The sequence below is a fragment of the Homo sapiens genome, chromosome 9, assembly GCF_000001405.40.
Source record: "Homo sapiens chromosome 9, GRCh38.p14 Primary Assembly".
NCBI classification, from domain to species: Eukaryota; Metazoa; Chordata; class Mammalia; order Primates; family Hominidae; genus Homo; species Homo sapiens.
The window spans coordinates 77,847,946-77,863,773 of NC_000009.12; the positions used below are offsets into that span (position 1 = coordinate 77,847,946).

The 15,828-nt window shown below is 42.7% G+C and overlaps 1 protein-coding gene across 3 annotated transcripts in view, besides 1 other annotated feature; it reads right to left on the minus strand.

Annotated features, from left to right (window-relative positions):
* GNAQ (G protein subunit alpha q) overlaps window positions 1-15,828 on the minus strand; it is a 315,715-nt gene that overhangs the window by 131,849 nt on the left and 168,038 nt on the right. The window lies entirely within an intron of this gene.
* Window positions 8,174-8,374: a silencer, noted in NCBI's record as "peak7274 fragment used in MPRA reporter construct". NCBI's record gives its function as "represses an SCP1 promoter by STARR-seq MPRAs in K562 erythroleukemia cells {active_cell/tissue: K562}" and the evidence as "EXISTENCE:reporter gene assay evidence [ECO:0000049][PMID:32103011]".

Consider the following 15,828-nt stretch of genomic DNA (forward strand, 5'->3'; position numbering starts at 1 on the left):
AGTATCTGTCCATTTCAGTTTCTCTCCCTTCAAGGCAATGTCATTTTAGATGTTAGGTGATGTAGTCGTGTTGGATGCTCTGGATTTCAGCCAGCTAGGTAGGACCTCAGACAAATCACATAAGTGGTTTTCTGCTTCACTGTCTCTATCACGATCAATGAGAACAGTCCCACCTACCCCTGTCTCCTTGGGGCCACTGTGAAGCCACTGCCAAGAGTCTAAAAATCACAGTTCTTTCTCTGATGTGTCCAGTAACATCTTCTACAGAGCTTTCACATCTATTAACACCAAATTCTTCCCCCTCAGTAAAGTTGAAAGTAAAGAACAAAGATTTTAAGTTCAGTGACAAGCTAAGTGACAAAGGGGACTCATAAGCCCACTTGAATAGGGCAATTTCCACTTCACAAGCAAAGCACATACTTTCACATGTCGGAATTCAAACCACTCTCACAGATCTTCAAGCTATTTCACTAGAGTCTTAGGGTGCAACTCTCTTAACAAGCAACCCCATTGCTGGCATCTCTGAGGCAGCAATTCAAACCCCAAATTGGCCTGTTTTCCCTGACAGACTGCTGGGATACAGATTCCTGGCCAACAGCAGAAAAGCTGGCAGCTCACTGCCTCTTCCAGAGTTGGCTTGGCCAGGGCAATGCCAGAACAATTGGTCTCATTGCCTTCTGAGATGACAATTAATTAGTGTGGTGGGAATAAGGAGTGGTCTATCCAGGGAGCTGAGCCTTTGCCCTTCTGAGGGCTGTGGTATTGGCCTCTCATCAGAGCCAACGTCCGCATCATAAGTCTCACTGTGCATGGCTTCTGGCTTCCCTAAGGCAGTCTGGAGGGAGACAGGGATGGAAGACCTTCCAAGAAGTTCTTTGTTGGGGAAAAAGGAAAAGGAAAGAACACAAGCAACACTAAAAATACAATTCAGAATCAGAGATAAATACCCGACAGCAAAATGCAATACTAAGTTAGAGAAGACACCGTTCTAGACATAATAAAGGAAAAAAGGACAAATGTTTCATTGAGAAGTGTCTCAGAGTGTAGCAAGAAGAAAAATGTGTGGTGACAGAAATCTAGCCCCACTGAGGAAAATTCGAGCTCAGTGACAACATCCTCAGCATGCTTTATTAGGCACTAGCACCAAGTGCATTGCTCAACATGCTGTGAATGAGAACACATGAGTCACAGGACAGCACCCCCTGCTCCAGCCGACAGCAAAGGACGTCGATTATTTAACCGTGGAAGAGGATAACTGATGACTCCCAAAGGTTTTCCAGAAAGCAACATAACATCTCACTGCAGGGATGGGGGAATTAAAACATGACTCTCAAGCATCCTAAAACTATCTAAAAAATAGAAATAATAAGAGTTTTTTTTTATTTTACCAGAGATTTTATAGACCTGATAGTGCACTACTTCTCAGCCACAGACAATATCGAGACAAAGCCTTGATACTGGAGTGGGGTCAGGAGTTCAATGTGGAGCCATGTGGGGTCTACAACTAGAATGATGATTTAAACCTGACCCCATGGGTACCTTACCGGCCAGTGCTTTCTGAATCCTCTCCCAGCTAAACTGAAGGAAAATGGTCATCTGGTCATCCGTACTGGCTTTTCAACCTGCTTCCTACCCTGCTTCCCCCATCCTGTTGTAATCTGTTTTCCACCTCCACCACAGTTCCACAAAGCAAGAGCTGGCAGGAGATGATCGAATCCAAGGGGCCCCTTTCAGCTCTTCTCTTACTTGCCTTCTCTGATGCCCAGGCTGGAGAGCAGTGGCACAATCATGGCTCACTGCAACCTCAACCTCCTAGGCTCAAGCGATCCTCTCACCTCAGCCTCCTGAGTGGCTGGGGACTACAGGTGCGCCACCATGCCTGGCTAATTTTTAAATTTTCTGTAGAGATGGAGTCTCATCATGTTGCCCAGGTTGGTCTCAAACTCCTGGCCTCCCAAAGTGCTGGGATTACAGGCATGAGTCACCTTGCCCAGCCCTTGACAGTATTTGATAATGCTGTACTGACCACTCTGTCTAAAACTACGTTCTTCTGTGATTTTCTGATACTACTTTCTCCTCATTCTATGACACCAGTGGCACCTTACCTATTCAGCCAGGCTTTCACCTAAGCTCTAGGCCAGTACTTCCAAATGTCGGCTACACACTTCACCTGATGGCCGCAGGCCCCTTCAATCGCAGCATGTCCCAACACATCTCAACATGCCCCGCATGCCCCTATCTGCTTCCACTACCCCTCAGAAGCTGGTTTTCTTCTCATTTATCTGTCAGAGTCAATAATGCCCTCACTCACCAAGTCAGCTCTGCCAGAAATCCTGGACAACCCTGGCTCCTCCTGGTCTCCTGCATCCACCACTTCCAGTTTACTCACTCAGTGTTCTTCAGTCTCCTCCATCTCTCTCTCTCACTGTGTCCCTCCTCTACACCTCCACCTCTACTGCCCTGGGTCTGGGCCTCATTCTCTCCTGCTCGGGCCACAGCAACAGTGTCTATGCTCATCTTCTGCATCCACGAAGATCTTTTTCCAGTCCGTTCTCCACAGTGTGATGGAATGATTTCTCGGGAACGTAAACCTAATCACATCACTCACCTGCTTAAAGCCTTTCCACAGCTCCACACGATTTACAGGACAAAGCATTTCTGATTTGAACCCTCTAGAACTTCCTAGCCTCCTCACCTCCCACTCTGTGCCTTTAATCTTAGCAGTCACTCAGACCTCCTTTCAGTTCCCCAGACCTGGCAAACCCATCCAGATGTCCACACTTTCTCTCTTTGAGGTTCTCTTTGCCTTACATGTCTTTTGTCCACCTGTAAAAACTGCTGGTGTCCTTCATGACCGACTCAAATGCCTCCTTTTCTCTGCAGGCTCTCGTGACCCTCGCCTGCCTCTTCCCAGGCACCATCACTCCTGCCTGCTCACCACCATGGCACATCCCCACCCCCACATCTGTCTCACACAGGGTCTTAGAGCTCCTGGGGAACAAGGACCACCATTGCTCTTTTCTCCTCTTCCCAGCTCTTACTAAAGTGCTTGGTACCTCATAAAGGATCAATAAATGTTTACTGGAAAAAAAAGATGTCACCCATCCCCAGATCTTCACAGGTGTGTCTAATTTCATATCCTCTCTTTCCATACAAACCTGTGTTTATGAATTGACACTTAACATACTTGTTTTACTCAACAAGGTCATTTCTTCCACTGAAGATGGAGAAAGTAAATCCAACATAATTGTCTAGCTTACACAAAATCGGAAAGAAAAAGACTGAGACACCCAAGGTTTCAGATGAAAACCCCATTTTTTCCCCTCAGTGATCAATAAAAAGTTTTTGTGATAAACCTCCCCCAAAACAGGATGCCTATTGTGTAGGACATGCCTCCTTCCCCCACCATGGAATTTAAAATGTTCAGTGATAAGGTTTCTGATATGTGTCATTATCTGCATATTCTGAGTATTTCTGCATGAAGAGCCAAAATCTGTGGCTCCTGAGAAAGTAGAGCTGGACGTATGCTCTGATGTCATTCTTGTCTTCACAGAGGGCACTGAAAAGAACCCAATCACTGGGACAGGTAAGTGACATCAAGTGAGTCTTAACCATTCTAAATGTTTTGCTTTTGTTTCTATCTCCAAGCCTTTATTACGTATCTCTGCTCTAGTAACTGTGTCCTGCCTCCCCACTCCTGATCCCTCCTGTCAGTTTCCCACTAGCTAACCCGTCTTCCAGTAGGGTCCTATCCTGGGGGTTATTACAAATGCTGGTAGCAGCATGTCATGGAAAGTTTGCTCTGTTTACTTTAATTGTTGTTGCTTTACTTCTGCCTGCTGCAAAGACCCCTTTTCTTTACAGTCCATCGTTTCCAACCCATGCAATGCACAACCTAATACCAACTGAGCTGGCACCACTCCTTTGATGTATTTTTTCAGAGGAAGGTTATTTTTGCTGGCTTGAAAGGTTTTCTTTTCTAGCTTTAGGTAAAAATCAGCAAAGATTCCAGTTCTTATCAATTGAGTGCTTAAGTAAACAGAGCAGGTGCCAAAGTCAATAGGATATGGAAAACAAGATTCTGCTGAAGATTATTTGTAATGGGGATCAACTGCTGACATAGAATCAGGAGTTCACACTTGATGAAAAAGAACATGAAAGAGGAAAGAGCCCAAATTTCAAAACACAGGGGCAGGGTTGGTTTGCCTGCAGCCAAGTCGGTTAGGCAAGGCTCATGTTTTCATGAAACTAGATGGGGTTTCCTTCTTGCATCGGAAGAAAGCTCTCACAAATACAGAGAATAAAACTCTCCATTCTGCCTCATCCTCATTTTAATAAATTCTCAGTGCCTGCAGTGACGTCCTGACCACTTCACTCACTTAGGACAGTCCCTTCTGTGCCTGGACTCAGAGCTCCAAGGCATAAGTGCTTTGGCAGAGCAATGAAGAAGGGTGCTGGAGTATAACTGTTCAGTGGCAGAATAACCATGGCAATGCATAATCAACCTGTTCTGCCTGCCAAGGCCCTGAAGCCACACATCTGCTAAACAGGGTGTGCTTCCTCCTGGCTTTCATGCCCCAAAGGCACACTCAAGACCCTCCACTAGCCACAGGATTGAAAAGGTTGGCTCCTCCAGTCCTTCACAGCAAGGTGAATTTACATCCTCTTTCCAGGTATGCCTCCCCGAAAGCATCCCTGCTAACTTTGGGACTACGTGATCGCTCAGTGCTCTTTCTCCTCCTACTGTTTTATGTCCTTTGACACATATCACCTTTTGCAGGCTGCTGAGATCACTCAGTATCTCATGAGGAAACCTCACATTTTCATATTTACAGTTATATCCATGGCCTATTATTTATAATTATACTGTCTGTAATTATGAAGGACATTACTCCTTCATCCCTACTTTGATAGCAAGGCACAGTGATTTCATCTTCATTTTTCCAGCGGAGAAACAAACAAAATAGGCTGAAGAATATACACCCAGGCTGTCAGTGGTAAGGCACACTACAGAATAATGGTTCTCTCAGCATAAACCTTCAAGAACGTCCAGATGGAGAAAAGAACATACATTTTTCCTTTGTCTCTTTCTATAAAAATGGATAGTATTTTAGAAAAGGAAAAGAGACAGATAAAAGTGGGTAAGAATTGTTACCAACCAAACTATGATAACGGGAAGAAAATTTTAGAAAGCAGTACACTACATGTTATTAATATTTTCCTGTTTCATGGTCTTCCACCCAGAAGAACAAAGAGAATTTGTTGGCAGCTGTCAAGAGTCAGCTCTGAGCTGGAGTTAATGCTACTATGTGGCTCTTTGGGCATATTTTTAACTTCTTAGTTCCTCATCTGAAAATAAGGATATAAGAGTAGTTATCTCAAAGGGATGTTACAGGGCTACATGAAATGATGTATATAAATAGTAGTAACAGGGCCTAGTACAAGGCAAATGGTTAATATACCTTGTGACATATTATTATTATTTATACCACTGGACGAAATTTCAGGATTCTGACCTCAGTAAGTATGAGCATAAAATTTTATTTCCAAAACCATTCACTATGAAAGAAAACCATGGAAGCCATTCTCTTGACTAAGAACTCGACAGCCTTCCGGACAATACAAATATATCAGTAGAGGCTCAGTGATTGTAGATTTTGTGTCAAACTCTGGGAAATCTTAACTGGCAGTGTGAAAAATAAACCTACAATATGCACAACCACAGGTCACAGATACAGCCATGCTGTACGTAATAGAGAACAGCGGCTACTCCTGTGTGTCCTATTATTCCAGCGGATTTCAATTTAGGATCTTTGTGAAATTACTACCAAAAAAAAAAAAAAAAAAAAAAAAAACCCACAGGCACTATTTCATCAGGAAAAAAAAGCAATTACCTTATATCCACCCTGTCCCATTTCTAAGAATCGTTCCACTATTACATAAACCACCTAAATGAATTTTGGAGTGCCTCCAGGCGAGAGGACAGAGGTTCCTGAAATCTGTTGATATGATGACAAGCCACTGCTATAGGAAAAAATGAGTTAGGGGCTCAAACTATTTTTGATCCTAAGTTGGAAGAACCTCTGATTTTTATCCTACAACCCAAATATAGATCCATTATTTCATATGGGTCACATGCCTCTCTTACATCCTGTATATTTTTATAACTCTAACATGAAGATCCATAAGTACATAATATAGAGGACTATGAAGTTTGCTTCTAGAAAAGTACTCTTTTTGGTTTTTTTAAAAAGCATTTTTAGCCCAGAGATGAATGTGTTTAAAAGACTATTAAAGATACAATGGCTAAAGAACAATGTCTTATGAGAAATAAGAATTGATCAACTTTGAGGTTTGACCTAATGCAACTGATACCCCTACTTACTGTTTAGGAATTATAGGTCACATCAATTTCAAAATCAAAATTCTGAAAATATGTGCTATTGTCAGGAAATGTTAAAAAGGAAGGAAAACAGGAAAGATTTGTCATGGGGCAAGACTAAACACAGGTTAAGTGGCAGTGATGCTCATGCTTGGGAAGTTATCTGCTCATTAATTGCTTCAGGTTTGGTCTGTTCATGCTTACTCTTTCTCTTTAAATGGCCCCTGAAGCCAGAAACAAATCAGCAAGATGTACAAATGCCTTATTTTCTCTGCCCTGGTCTGCCCTACTCATTCATAAACAAACGTGTGAATGCCGTTTAAGAAGCTAAGGCCAAGGCAAGCTTATTTCCTCTCTCCATATACTATAACCAGCACAACCACAAAGTTCAAACTCTGCTGGAGCAGTGTACCTAATGCAATCTACAGGGACCAAAGGACAGACAGTATAATTTATAGGTTGGCATGCTATGCAGGACAATGGTATCGATCCTGCTTTTCTATGAAGAGAGGATAATTACAATAAGATTTGCTCACCTAGAAGTTCAGGGTTTCGTGTGGAATGGAAAAGTTTAATTGAAAAAAGCTTACATTTTCAAAGAACAAATAACCAGTCTTTCTGGGAAATGGGCACTTCAAAAGTAGGAGAAGAGAATATTTAATAAAGCTCTGCAGATATTTTACTGGTTACAACTGTCTCTTACCCCAGAAATGACGTCAGTGGCAACATATGACAGTATCAATAGTGTGCCCTAGTGTGCCCTTGTTTCAAGCCTTAAAGAAATTGCACTACCTTGCATCACAAGAATGGTCAGATGACATCATAGTGAATAAATTTATCTGAAAACATAAATGAAAATTTAGAAGGGAAACAAGAGGAGACATGAAAATTGGTGTAATGCAGCAGAATCAAGAAAAATTAGGATAAAGAAAGGAAAAGTAATTACAGAGGATATAAATAAATTAAAAGAAAGGCAGAGATCCTAGTTAAAGGCCAACGAGCAGTTATTTTTTTTAAAGTCCCTTGTAAAAAATAAAAATCAATAAAAGCAAACGAAAGAACCTGTGGCTTCCTGGCTAGAGATATAAGCTGTGTTTTAAATCGCAGTTCCCCAAAAAATGACTTTGCAGGTTTATACTTTGATTTTGCATGGTATATCTATATTACTAGCCCAATTATGTCATCTTTTTTTCGCCCTCTTTGAGCTCTTTGAAATAAGGTCTGTTTTATATGAAAACACAGCCCATGTCTATGATGGAATAAAAACCCCGTAATTAAACATGCAGAAATAAATATGATTACCCACAGCAAGAAAACAAATGCCATCACTCATGTTAATCTATTAAAGTATTTCAAGGCAAAGATGCTGAGATTTAATTTCCTAGTGAAAGTCAGTTTCACTACCTACCAATAAAAATGCAATAAAATGAACTCTCAAAAAAAAAAGCCCTCTGCCATTTGCTATAAAAGTCATGACTGGCTATAATATAACCAAAAAAGTGACTCTAACAGGAGCATCTATTGTTATTTTATAATTTCATTGAAAATATTTTAATTTAGTTCTTATATTTTATACACACTTTGGTTAATGTATATGTATCTATAGATATACATAACACAATAAACCTTCTAGTCAAGAGAATAAGGAACATAACACAGACTATAGCTAAACTGCTGACATTAGGCTCAGCTCATAGATCTTGCTTACCAACTATTTGCTGAATGAATAATAATCTACACATCATTTACATGTGTTTTATATTTTGGCATGGGTAGTGCTGGCTTTTCAATGAAAGGCATTCTTGGGCCTACACAAATACTTTCATTATCTGACTGATGGGGGTACAGGCTGATTTATGGGTGTGTTTACCCTGTAAGTGATTCTCTAACTCTGGAGGAACTGAAAAGTATCTAGGTTCTCCATCTTGTGATTTCAGACTTAGCTGGTTCCTATGAAAGCCAAGTGCAATACCCCAGAGCAGGGGAGATGAACATTTTATATGCAAATGATTGATGTATTGTATATAGAAAGAATTGGAAAATTTCAAAATATATATATATTTCTATAGGAAGGAAGGCATGGGGTGGATGTGTTTTTAACTATTACACATGGATTAACTCAACTTTTTAATAAACTGGGGAAACTAGGACTTTCTTCTAGAGTAAGTGAATAATATCAGTATTTCATACACAATAGTTTACAATTGGCAGCAGGTAACATCTAAGTGATTCTTTTCTGATGGAGATCCTCTTAAGGAGACTAAGCCTTGCCCCGAACTTCAGAATTTCAACATGACTATAGCAGAAGAGAAAAGACTGAGAAAGACTACCTAGCAAATTTAAGGAAACTTCTTTGTAAGTAATTACTTTAAAATTATTTTTATAATATATACTGTGCATACTTTCTAAATGCATCTGTTTAGCAGGAAATTAATGATTCATCCAGGAAAAATGAGTTAGGCTGTATTAAGCCGTTATTACTTTTCATTGTTTAACCTTGCAAAGCAGTATCATGAAATAAGTAAGAGAAATATTTAACATGACCTGGTACCAGCAGTTCTCTTAAATATTTGTTTGTTTAGCTGAAAGGGAATTTGTAAAGAGGGTGGAAATAGTCTGTGAAACCAAGAGGTGTTAGTGCCATCTGGACCCACTCTCTTCCAAATTCCCTCTGTCACCATGCCCTCCTCTTCCTCAAGGAAAACAGTGAGCTGACTTTCTTAGCATTCTAATCACCATCACCTCTAAAACTACAGCAAGGCTGAGAGGTTCAGCAAGACATGCTAGGCAAGGCAGCAGAGTGAAATTCAAACCTGTCAAGGCTCAAGTGGGTGAAAAACCCAAACATGGAATTGACCAGATTCTCTTCATCACCGTTGGTATTAGCATCTTGCAACCGCGGGCCCATTTCTTTACCAAACATGGATTACTCTGTTGTGAAATTCAATCACTTTCAACAGGCATCTAGAACTCGACCTACATCTCTTAGCTTTGTTAAGATCAGCGGTGTACAGCTCCCTGAAATACCATTTTTAACATTACACTTCTTATCTAGATCTTTGTTTAACTTGCAGGGATCCAGATCATATGTAGTACACACTGTATTCCAATCTAAAAGGATGGGGAGGGAACAGGAAGGGAAGGAAGGGAAAGAGAGGAAGAGAGGAAGAGACACAGGAAAGAAGGAAGGGAAGAAGGAAGGAAGGGAAGAAGGAAGGGAGGGAGGGAGGGAAGGAAGGAAGGAAGGAAGGGTAGAAAAGAGAAGGGTAGGGAAGGAAAGGAGAGGAAGGTGGGGAAGAAAAGGAAGGACGGAAAGGGGGGAAGGAGGGAAGGAGGGGAAGGAGGGAAGGAGGGGAAGGAGAGAAAGGAAGACAGGAAAGGGAGGAAAGAGTCTACCTAAATTTCTACTCTGAATGTTAATGCCTGTTAATAATAAGAGGGAAGACTTTTATACTCTTTTTTTTTTCAAGGCCATTTTCTTTTCTCCTGTTTACCTTAATGAAAAAACAATTTATAGGTAAAACATTTTGAGAAGGCAATAAAGGTTTTTTTTTTTTTCCAGTTCTGAATTGAGGTCACATGTTTCACATAGCATCAGGCTTCTTTTTATTTCCTTACAAACTCCCCAAAAGCTTTTTTAAACAGAGCTGTCAGCTCTGTTTGTTCCAGTCCCTGATTTACAAAGCGTCCATGGATGAGAGCAAGTACCAAGTAGGAAAGTTACTGCAGCATTTCCATTACAAACCATGCTTTTCAATCTCCCCTTCCTGCTTTCCACAGCAGCTCTCTCTGCTCACCCCAACCCTGGCATGAGGAGTATCTAGGATTTCAGGGCAGGAGATGGTTTTCAGCACTGGCACAATCATGAGATTGAGTCTCCAGACCCAGCAGCAGTGTGGGTTCTGTGCTTTATCCTCCAGCACTGGGATTCCAACGCAGAGACAGGACTTTGACCACATAACCTGGGAGATCTTTTCAATACAATACGTAGTCTGACCTAGTTGAAGACCATTGCTCTAAATCCATAGGAATGAGTGAATCAAAGAAGGGAGGGTTTTCTGTTGCCCCAATCAGCCCCCCTCAACCATTTAGAGTGACCACTACTACCTTCATTTCACTGCCAGATCGTAAGTTGTTGTCTTTACTTCTCCCTATTCCCTTAATCACCCTCTCTCAATCAATCTTCTGCTCTCAGTGGACATGGAAACAACTCTTTCAGAGGTCTCCAAAAGCCTACGTGTGGCTTCTTCTCAGTCTTCACCCTCCTCTGTAGTGTCTGACGCCATCAGTCACCCCCTTCTTCTTGGAAATGCTGCCTAGTTCTCCACCAGCCTCTCCAGCCATGCTTCCTTTCTCTGCTTGGCTCTTTCTTTCCTTTTACTGATCCCACGTGCAATCATCTGCCAGAATTCCATGCCCAGCCCACTACTTCTCCATATTAGCCCACTGACCATCTTGGCCATTCTCTGAGCTGCAGCTATCACCTGTACACAACTAACAGCCAAGTCTCTTCCTTCCCTAACTCAGGCCCTCTTCAAAGCACTTGAGTTTTGTAATGGCCTGAAGGCACCTCACCTCAACTCACTCCTTCCGTTGGTGCCTCTGTACTTTCCTATTTCCATTCGTGTCTTTCCATCTCCATACTTAGGCCCCATCACACTAGCTATAAATGTCAGCTTCTTGGACTGTTTTTACTTCTTTGCCTAACACATCAAACACAGGAGCAGAGTCCTGCCTGTTCCTACCTAAAATGATCTTCCCATGTTGACACCCCCAATTTCACATCGCCTGTGGGAGTACCAATACCTGCTCTAAATGCTAACTCCTGGAAATTTTCTCTGGTCTCCTTTGAATGCAAGAACTCTATTCTTTCCAGTACTATTCTATAACGTAATTGTAACACCTCATACTCTGCTGATGAATAACAAAATGAAACCCAGAAACGAAGAGCTAATGAAAGTATATTCTTACAGTACATTTAGAAGAATTATCCTATTCACTCCCTTAATGGATTTGTTTTGCTTTAACTACAGAAGGAGATAGATGTGAAATAATGATAAATTTAATAATTTCATTAAATCAATCCTACATTTAGATCCACATATCTGTTTGGATACACTATGTATAGTAAAAAGCATATGAAGCTTAGTAAGCCATCAGTATGAAACCTGAAAATATGATTTAAAAAGAATTATCTCCATTAGCGTAAATTGGAATTTTTGCTTTAAAGTAAAGAAACAACGGTTGCCTTTCAACTTAAACACACCAACTCTAAGCCCTGGTAACCATAAGACCCGGAGTTGTAAGAAGATCTGAAGCTCAAGAAAATTAGCTCCATTCAGGATGTTCATTTGTTTATAGATTTGGACAGACTGCATAACAGCAGCTTTTCAATGGAAGCCAAGATTTTAACATGGTATTTTAAAGTACCTTTAGACTAGCATCAGCCATACAGAATGCAGTAAAATATGAGGCTGGCTATGTAGGATGAAGAGTAATTGCTTGACCCTACCTTACAGTTATTCTTGGTCTCAAAAAAGTGAAGGTCTTATCGGTCCTGGCAAGCTACTAGTAAGCTAGCAAAATTACAACTTTTTGTGCTGGATTTAGTAAAAAAATGTTTAACTTCTTCTTAGGCAAAGAAAAAAATCCCTACATAAATGCACAGACATCTATAATTTATAACAGAAAGGAAAGAAATGATTCAGTGTGTTTCATGCAAAATTTTTCAAAGGCGTCTAACGTCTCCATTTAATAGAAGCCATAAAATACTCCTAAACTGAGATTTCATATTAAAGCTGCCCTAGAACAGACTCACTATTTCTTAGTAGCATGGCCCATGACCACCTGGGCATCTGCAGGCGGCTGAGTGGGGGTTAGCTGGAGCTTATGGCTGGGTTAGAGAGTGAAGGTAGCTCATTAGTGCTTGGTTTCTCTGTGCTCTCTTAGTCCTGTTCAGACAGCCCATCTTTCTGACTAGTTTCCCTGCTAGACAATGCCCTGAGGAGGTTGGTATGACTCTAAAGATGACCCCATCTCACTGCCAGTGGTTCTCAAAAAAAGGCTGACTGCACTACCCCACCCCAGGGGGTATTCTGTTGCTATAAAGACTGTGGAATGCTACAGAGATTGAGTAGGTGAGGCGGCGGGGGGATTGTTTGGGGATGAAACTGTTACACCTCAAATCATCAAGCATTAGTTATATTCTCATAAGGAGCGTGCAACCTAGATCCCTCCTGCACATGCACAGTTCACAATAGGGTTTGCACTTTTGTGAGAATCTGATGCCGCCACTGATCTGACAGGAGGCGAAGCTCAGGCAGTAATACTCAGGCAGTGAGTGCTAGTTCGCCCGCAGCTCACTGGTCCATGGCGCGGGATGTTCGGGACCCCTTCCATAACACACTGAACAGTCCCCACAGGACTGGAAGGCAGAGCATTTATTTCCCTGGCTCTTCCGTGGAGGTTGCCTCAGGCTAGATGTACTCCCAGCTGAAGTTCATGACTCCACTTAAGGCAACAAACTCTCCTTATCTCTCACTCTCTGTGGTAAGAAGAATAATGGCCCCTCAAAGATATCCACCATCCTACTCCCCAGAATTTGTGAACATATTACTGTCTAAAGTCAATTTTCACTGCTATAAAAGAATACCCGAGGCTGGATGTATTAGTCCATTTTCATGCTGCTGATGAAGACATACTCAAGACTTGGCAATTTACAAATGAAAGAGGTTTAACGGACTTACAGTTCCATGTGGCTGGGGAGGCCTCACAATCATGATGGAAGGCAAGGAGGAGCAAGTCATGTCTTACATGGATGGCAGCAGGCAAAGAGAGAGAGCTTGAGCAGGGAAACTCCAGTGTTTACAACCATCAGTTCTCATGAGTCTTATTCACTATCACAAGAATAGCCCAGGAAAGACCTGCCTCCATGATTCAATTGCCTCCGGCCAGGTCCTTCCCACAACACATGGGAATTCAAGGTGAGATTTGGGTGGGGAAACAGCCAAACCATTATTATTCTGCCCCTTGCCACTCCCAAATCTCATGTCCTCATATTTCAAAACCAATCATGCCTTCCCAACAGTCCCCCAAAGTCTTAACTCATTTCAGCATTAACTCAGACAGTCCAAAGTCTCATCTGAGAGAAGGCAAGTCCCTTCCGCTTATGAGCCTGTAAAATCAAAAGCAAGTTAGTTACTTCCTAGATACAATGCGGGTACAGGCATTGGGTAAACACAGCCATTCCAAATGGGAGAAATTGGCCAAAACAAAGGGCTACAGGCCCCACACAAGTCCAAAATCCAGTAGGGCAGTCAAATCTTAAAGGTCCAAAATGATCTCCTTTGACTCCATGTCTCACATCCCGGTCACACTGATGCGTGATGCATGAGGTCAGGCATGGTGGCTCACGCCTATAATCCCCACACTTTGGGAGGCTGAGGCAGGGGGTCACGAGGTCAGGAGTTCGAGACCAGCCTGGCCAACATGGTGAAACCCCATCTCTACTAAAAATACAAAAATTAGCCGGGCGTGGTGGCATGGCACACACCTGTAATCCCAGCTACTCAGGAGGCTGAGGCAGGGGAACTGCTTGAACCTGGGAGGCGGAGGTTGCGGTGAGCTGAGATCGTGCCACTGCACTCCAGCCTGGGGGACAGAGCAAGACTCTGTCTGGGGTAAAAAAAAAAAAAAAAAAAAAAAGAGGTGGACTCCCATGGTCTTGGACAGTTCTGCCGTTCTGCCCCTGTGGCTTTGCAGGGTATACCCCTCTCCTGGCTGCTTTCACAGGCATGCGTTGAGTGTCTGCAGCTTTTCCAGGTGCATGGTGCAAGCTCTCGGTGAATCTACCACTCTGGGATCTGGAGGATCTCTTGTCACTCCACTAGGATCTCTTCTCACAGCTCCACTAGGCAATGCCCCAGGAGGGACTCTGTGTGGGGGCTCTGACCTCACATTTCCCTTCCGCCCTGCCCTAGGAGAGGTTCTCCATGAGGGCCCCACCCTGCAGCAAATTTCTGCCTCGGCATTCAGGCATTTCCATACATCCTCTGAAATCTAGGTGGAGGTTCCCAAACCTCAATTCTTGACTTCTGTGCACATGCAGGCTAATACTATGTGGAAGCTGCCAAGGTTTGGGGCTGTCACCCTCTGAAGCCACATCCCAAGTGGTACCTTGGCCCCTTTCAGCTACTAGTGGAGCAGCTGGGCCACAGGGCACCAAGTTCCTAGGGTGCAAACAGCAGAAGGACCCTGGGCCAGGCCCATGGAACCATTTTTCCCTCCTAAACCTCCAGGTTTGTTATAGGAGAGGGTGCTGAAAAGGTCTCTGACATGCCCTGGAAACATTTTCCCTATTGTCTTGGGGATTAACATTTGGTTCCTCGTTACTTATGCAAATTTCTGCAGCGGGCTTGAATTTCCCCTCATAAAATGGAATTTTCTTTTCTATCACATTGTCAGACTATAAATTTTCTGAACTTTTATACTCTGCTTCCCTTATAAAACTGAATGCCTTTAACAGGACCCAAGTCACTTCTTGAAGGCTTTGCTGCTTAGAAATTTCTTCCGCCAGACACGGTGGCTCATGCCTGTAATCCCAGCACTTTGGGAGGCTGAGGCACGAGGATCACCTGAGGTCAGGAGTTTGAGACCAGCCTGACCAACATGGAGAAACCCTGTCTACTAAAAACAAAATTAGCCGGGTGTGGTGGCACATGCCTGTAATCCCAGCTACTTGGGAGGCAGAGGCAGGAGAATTGCTTGAACCCGGGAGGCAGAAGTTGCAGTGAGCTGAGACTGAACCATTGTTCTCCAGCCTGGGCAACAAGAATGAAACTCCGTATGAAAGAAAGGAAGGAAGGAAGGAAGGAAGGAAGGAAGGAAGGAAGGGAGGAAGGAAGAAAGGAAGGAAGGAAGAGAAAGAAGGAAATTTCTTCCACCAGATACTCTAAATCATCTCTCTCAAGTTCAAAGTTCCACAAATCTCTAGGGCAGGGGCAAAACGTTGCCAGGCTCTTTGTTAAAACATAACAAGAGTCACCTTTGCTCCAGTTCCCAACAAGTTCCTCATCTCCATCTGAGACCACCTCAGCGTGGATTTCACTGTCCATATAATTATCTGCATTTTGGTCAGTCATTCAACAAGTCTCCAGGGAGTTCCAAACTTTCCTACATTTTCCTGTCTAATTCTGGGCCCTCCAAACTGTTCCCACCTCTGCCTATTACCCAGTTCCAAAGTCGCTTTCACATTTTCGGGTATCTTTTCAGCAGTGCCCCACTCTATTGGTACCAATTTACCGTACTAGTCCATTTCACGCTGCTGATAAAGACATATTTGAGACTTGGCCATTTATAAAAAAAAAGAGGTTTAATGGACTTACAGTTCCACGTGGCTGGGGAGGCCTCACAATCATGATGGAAGGCAAGGAGGAGCAAGTCATGTC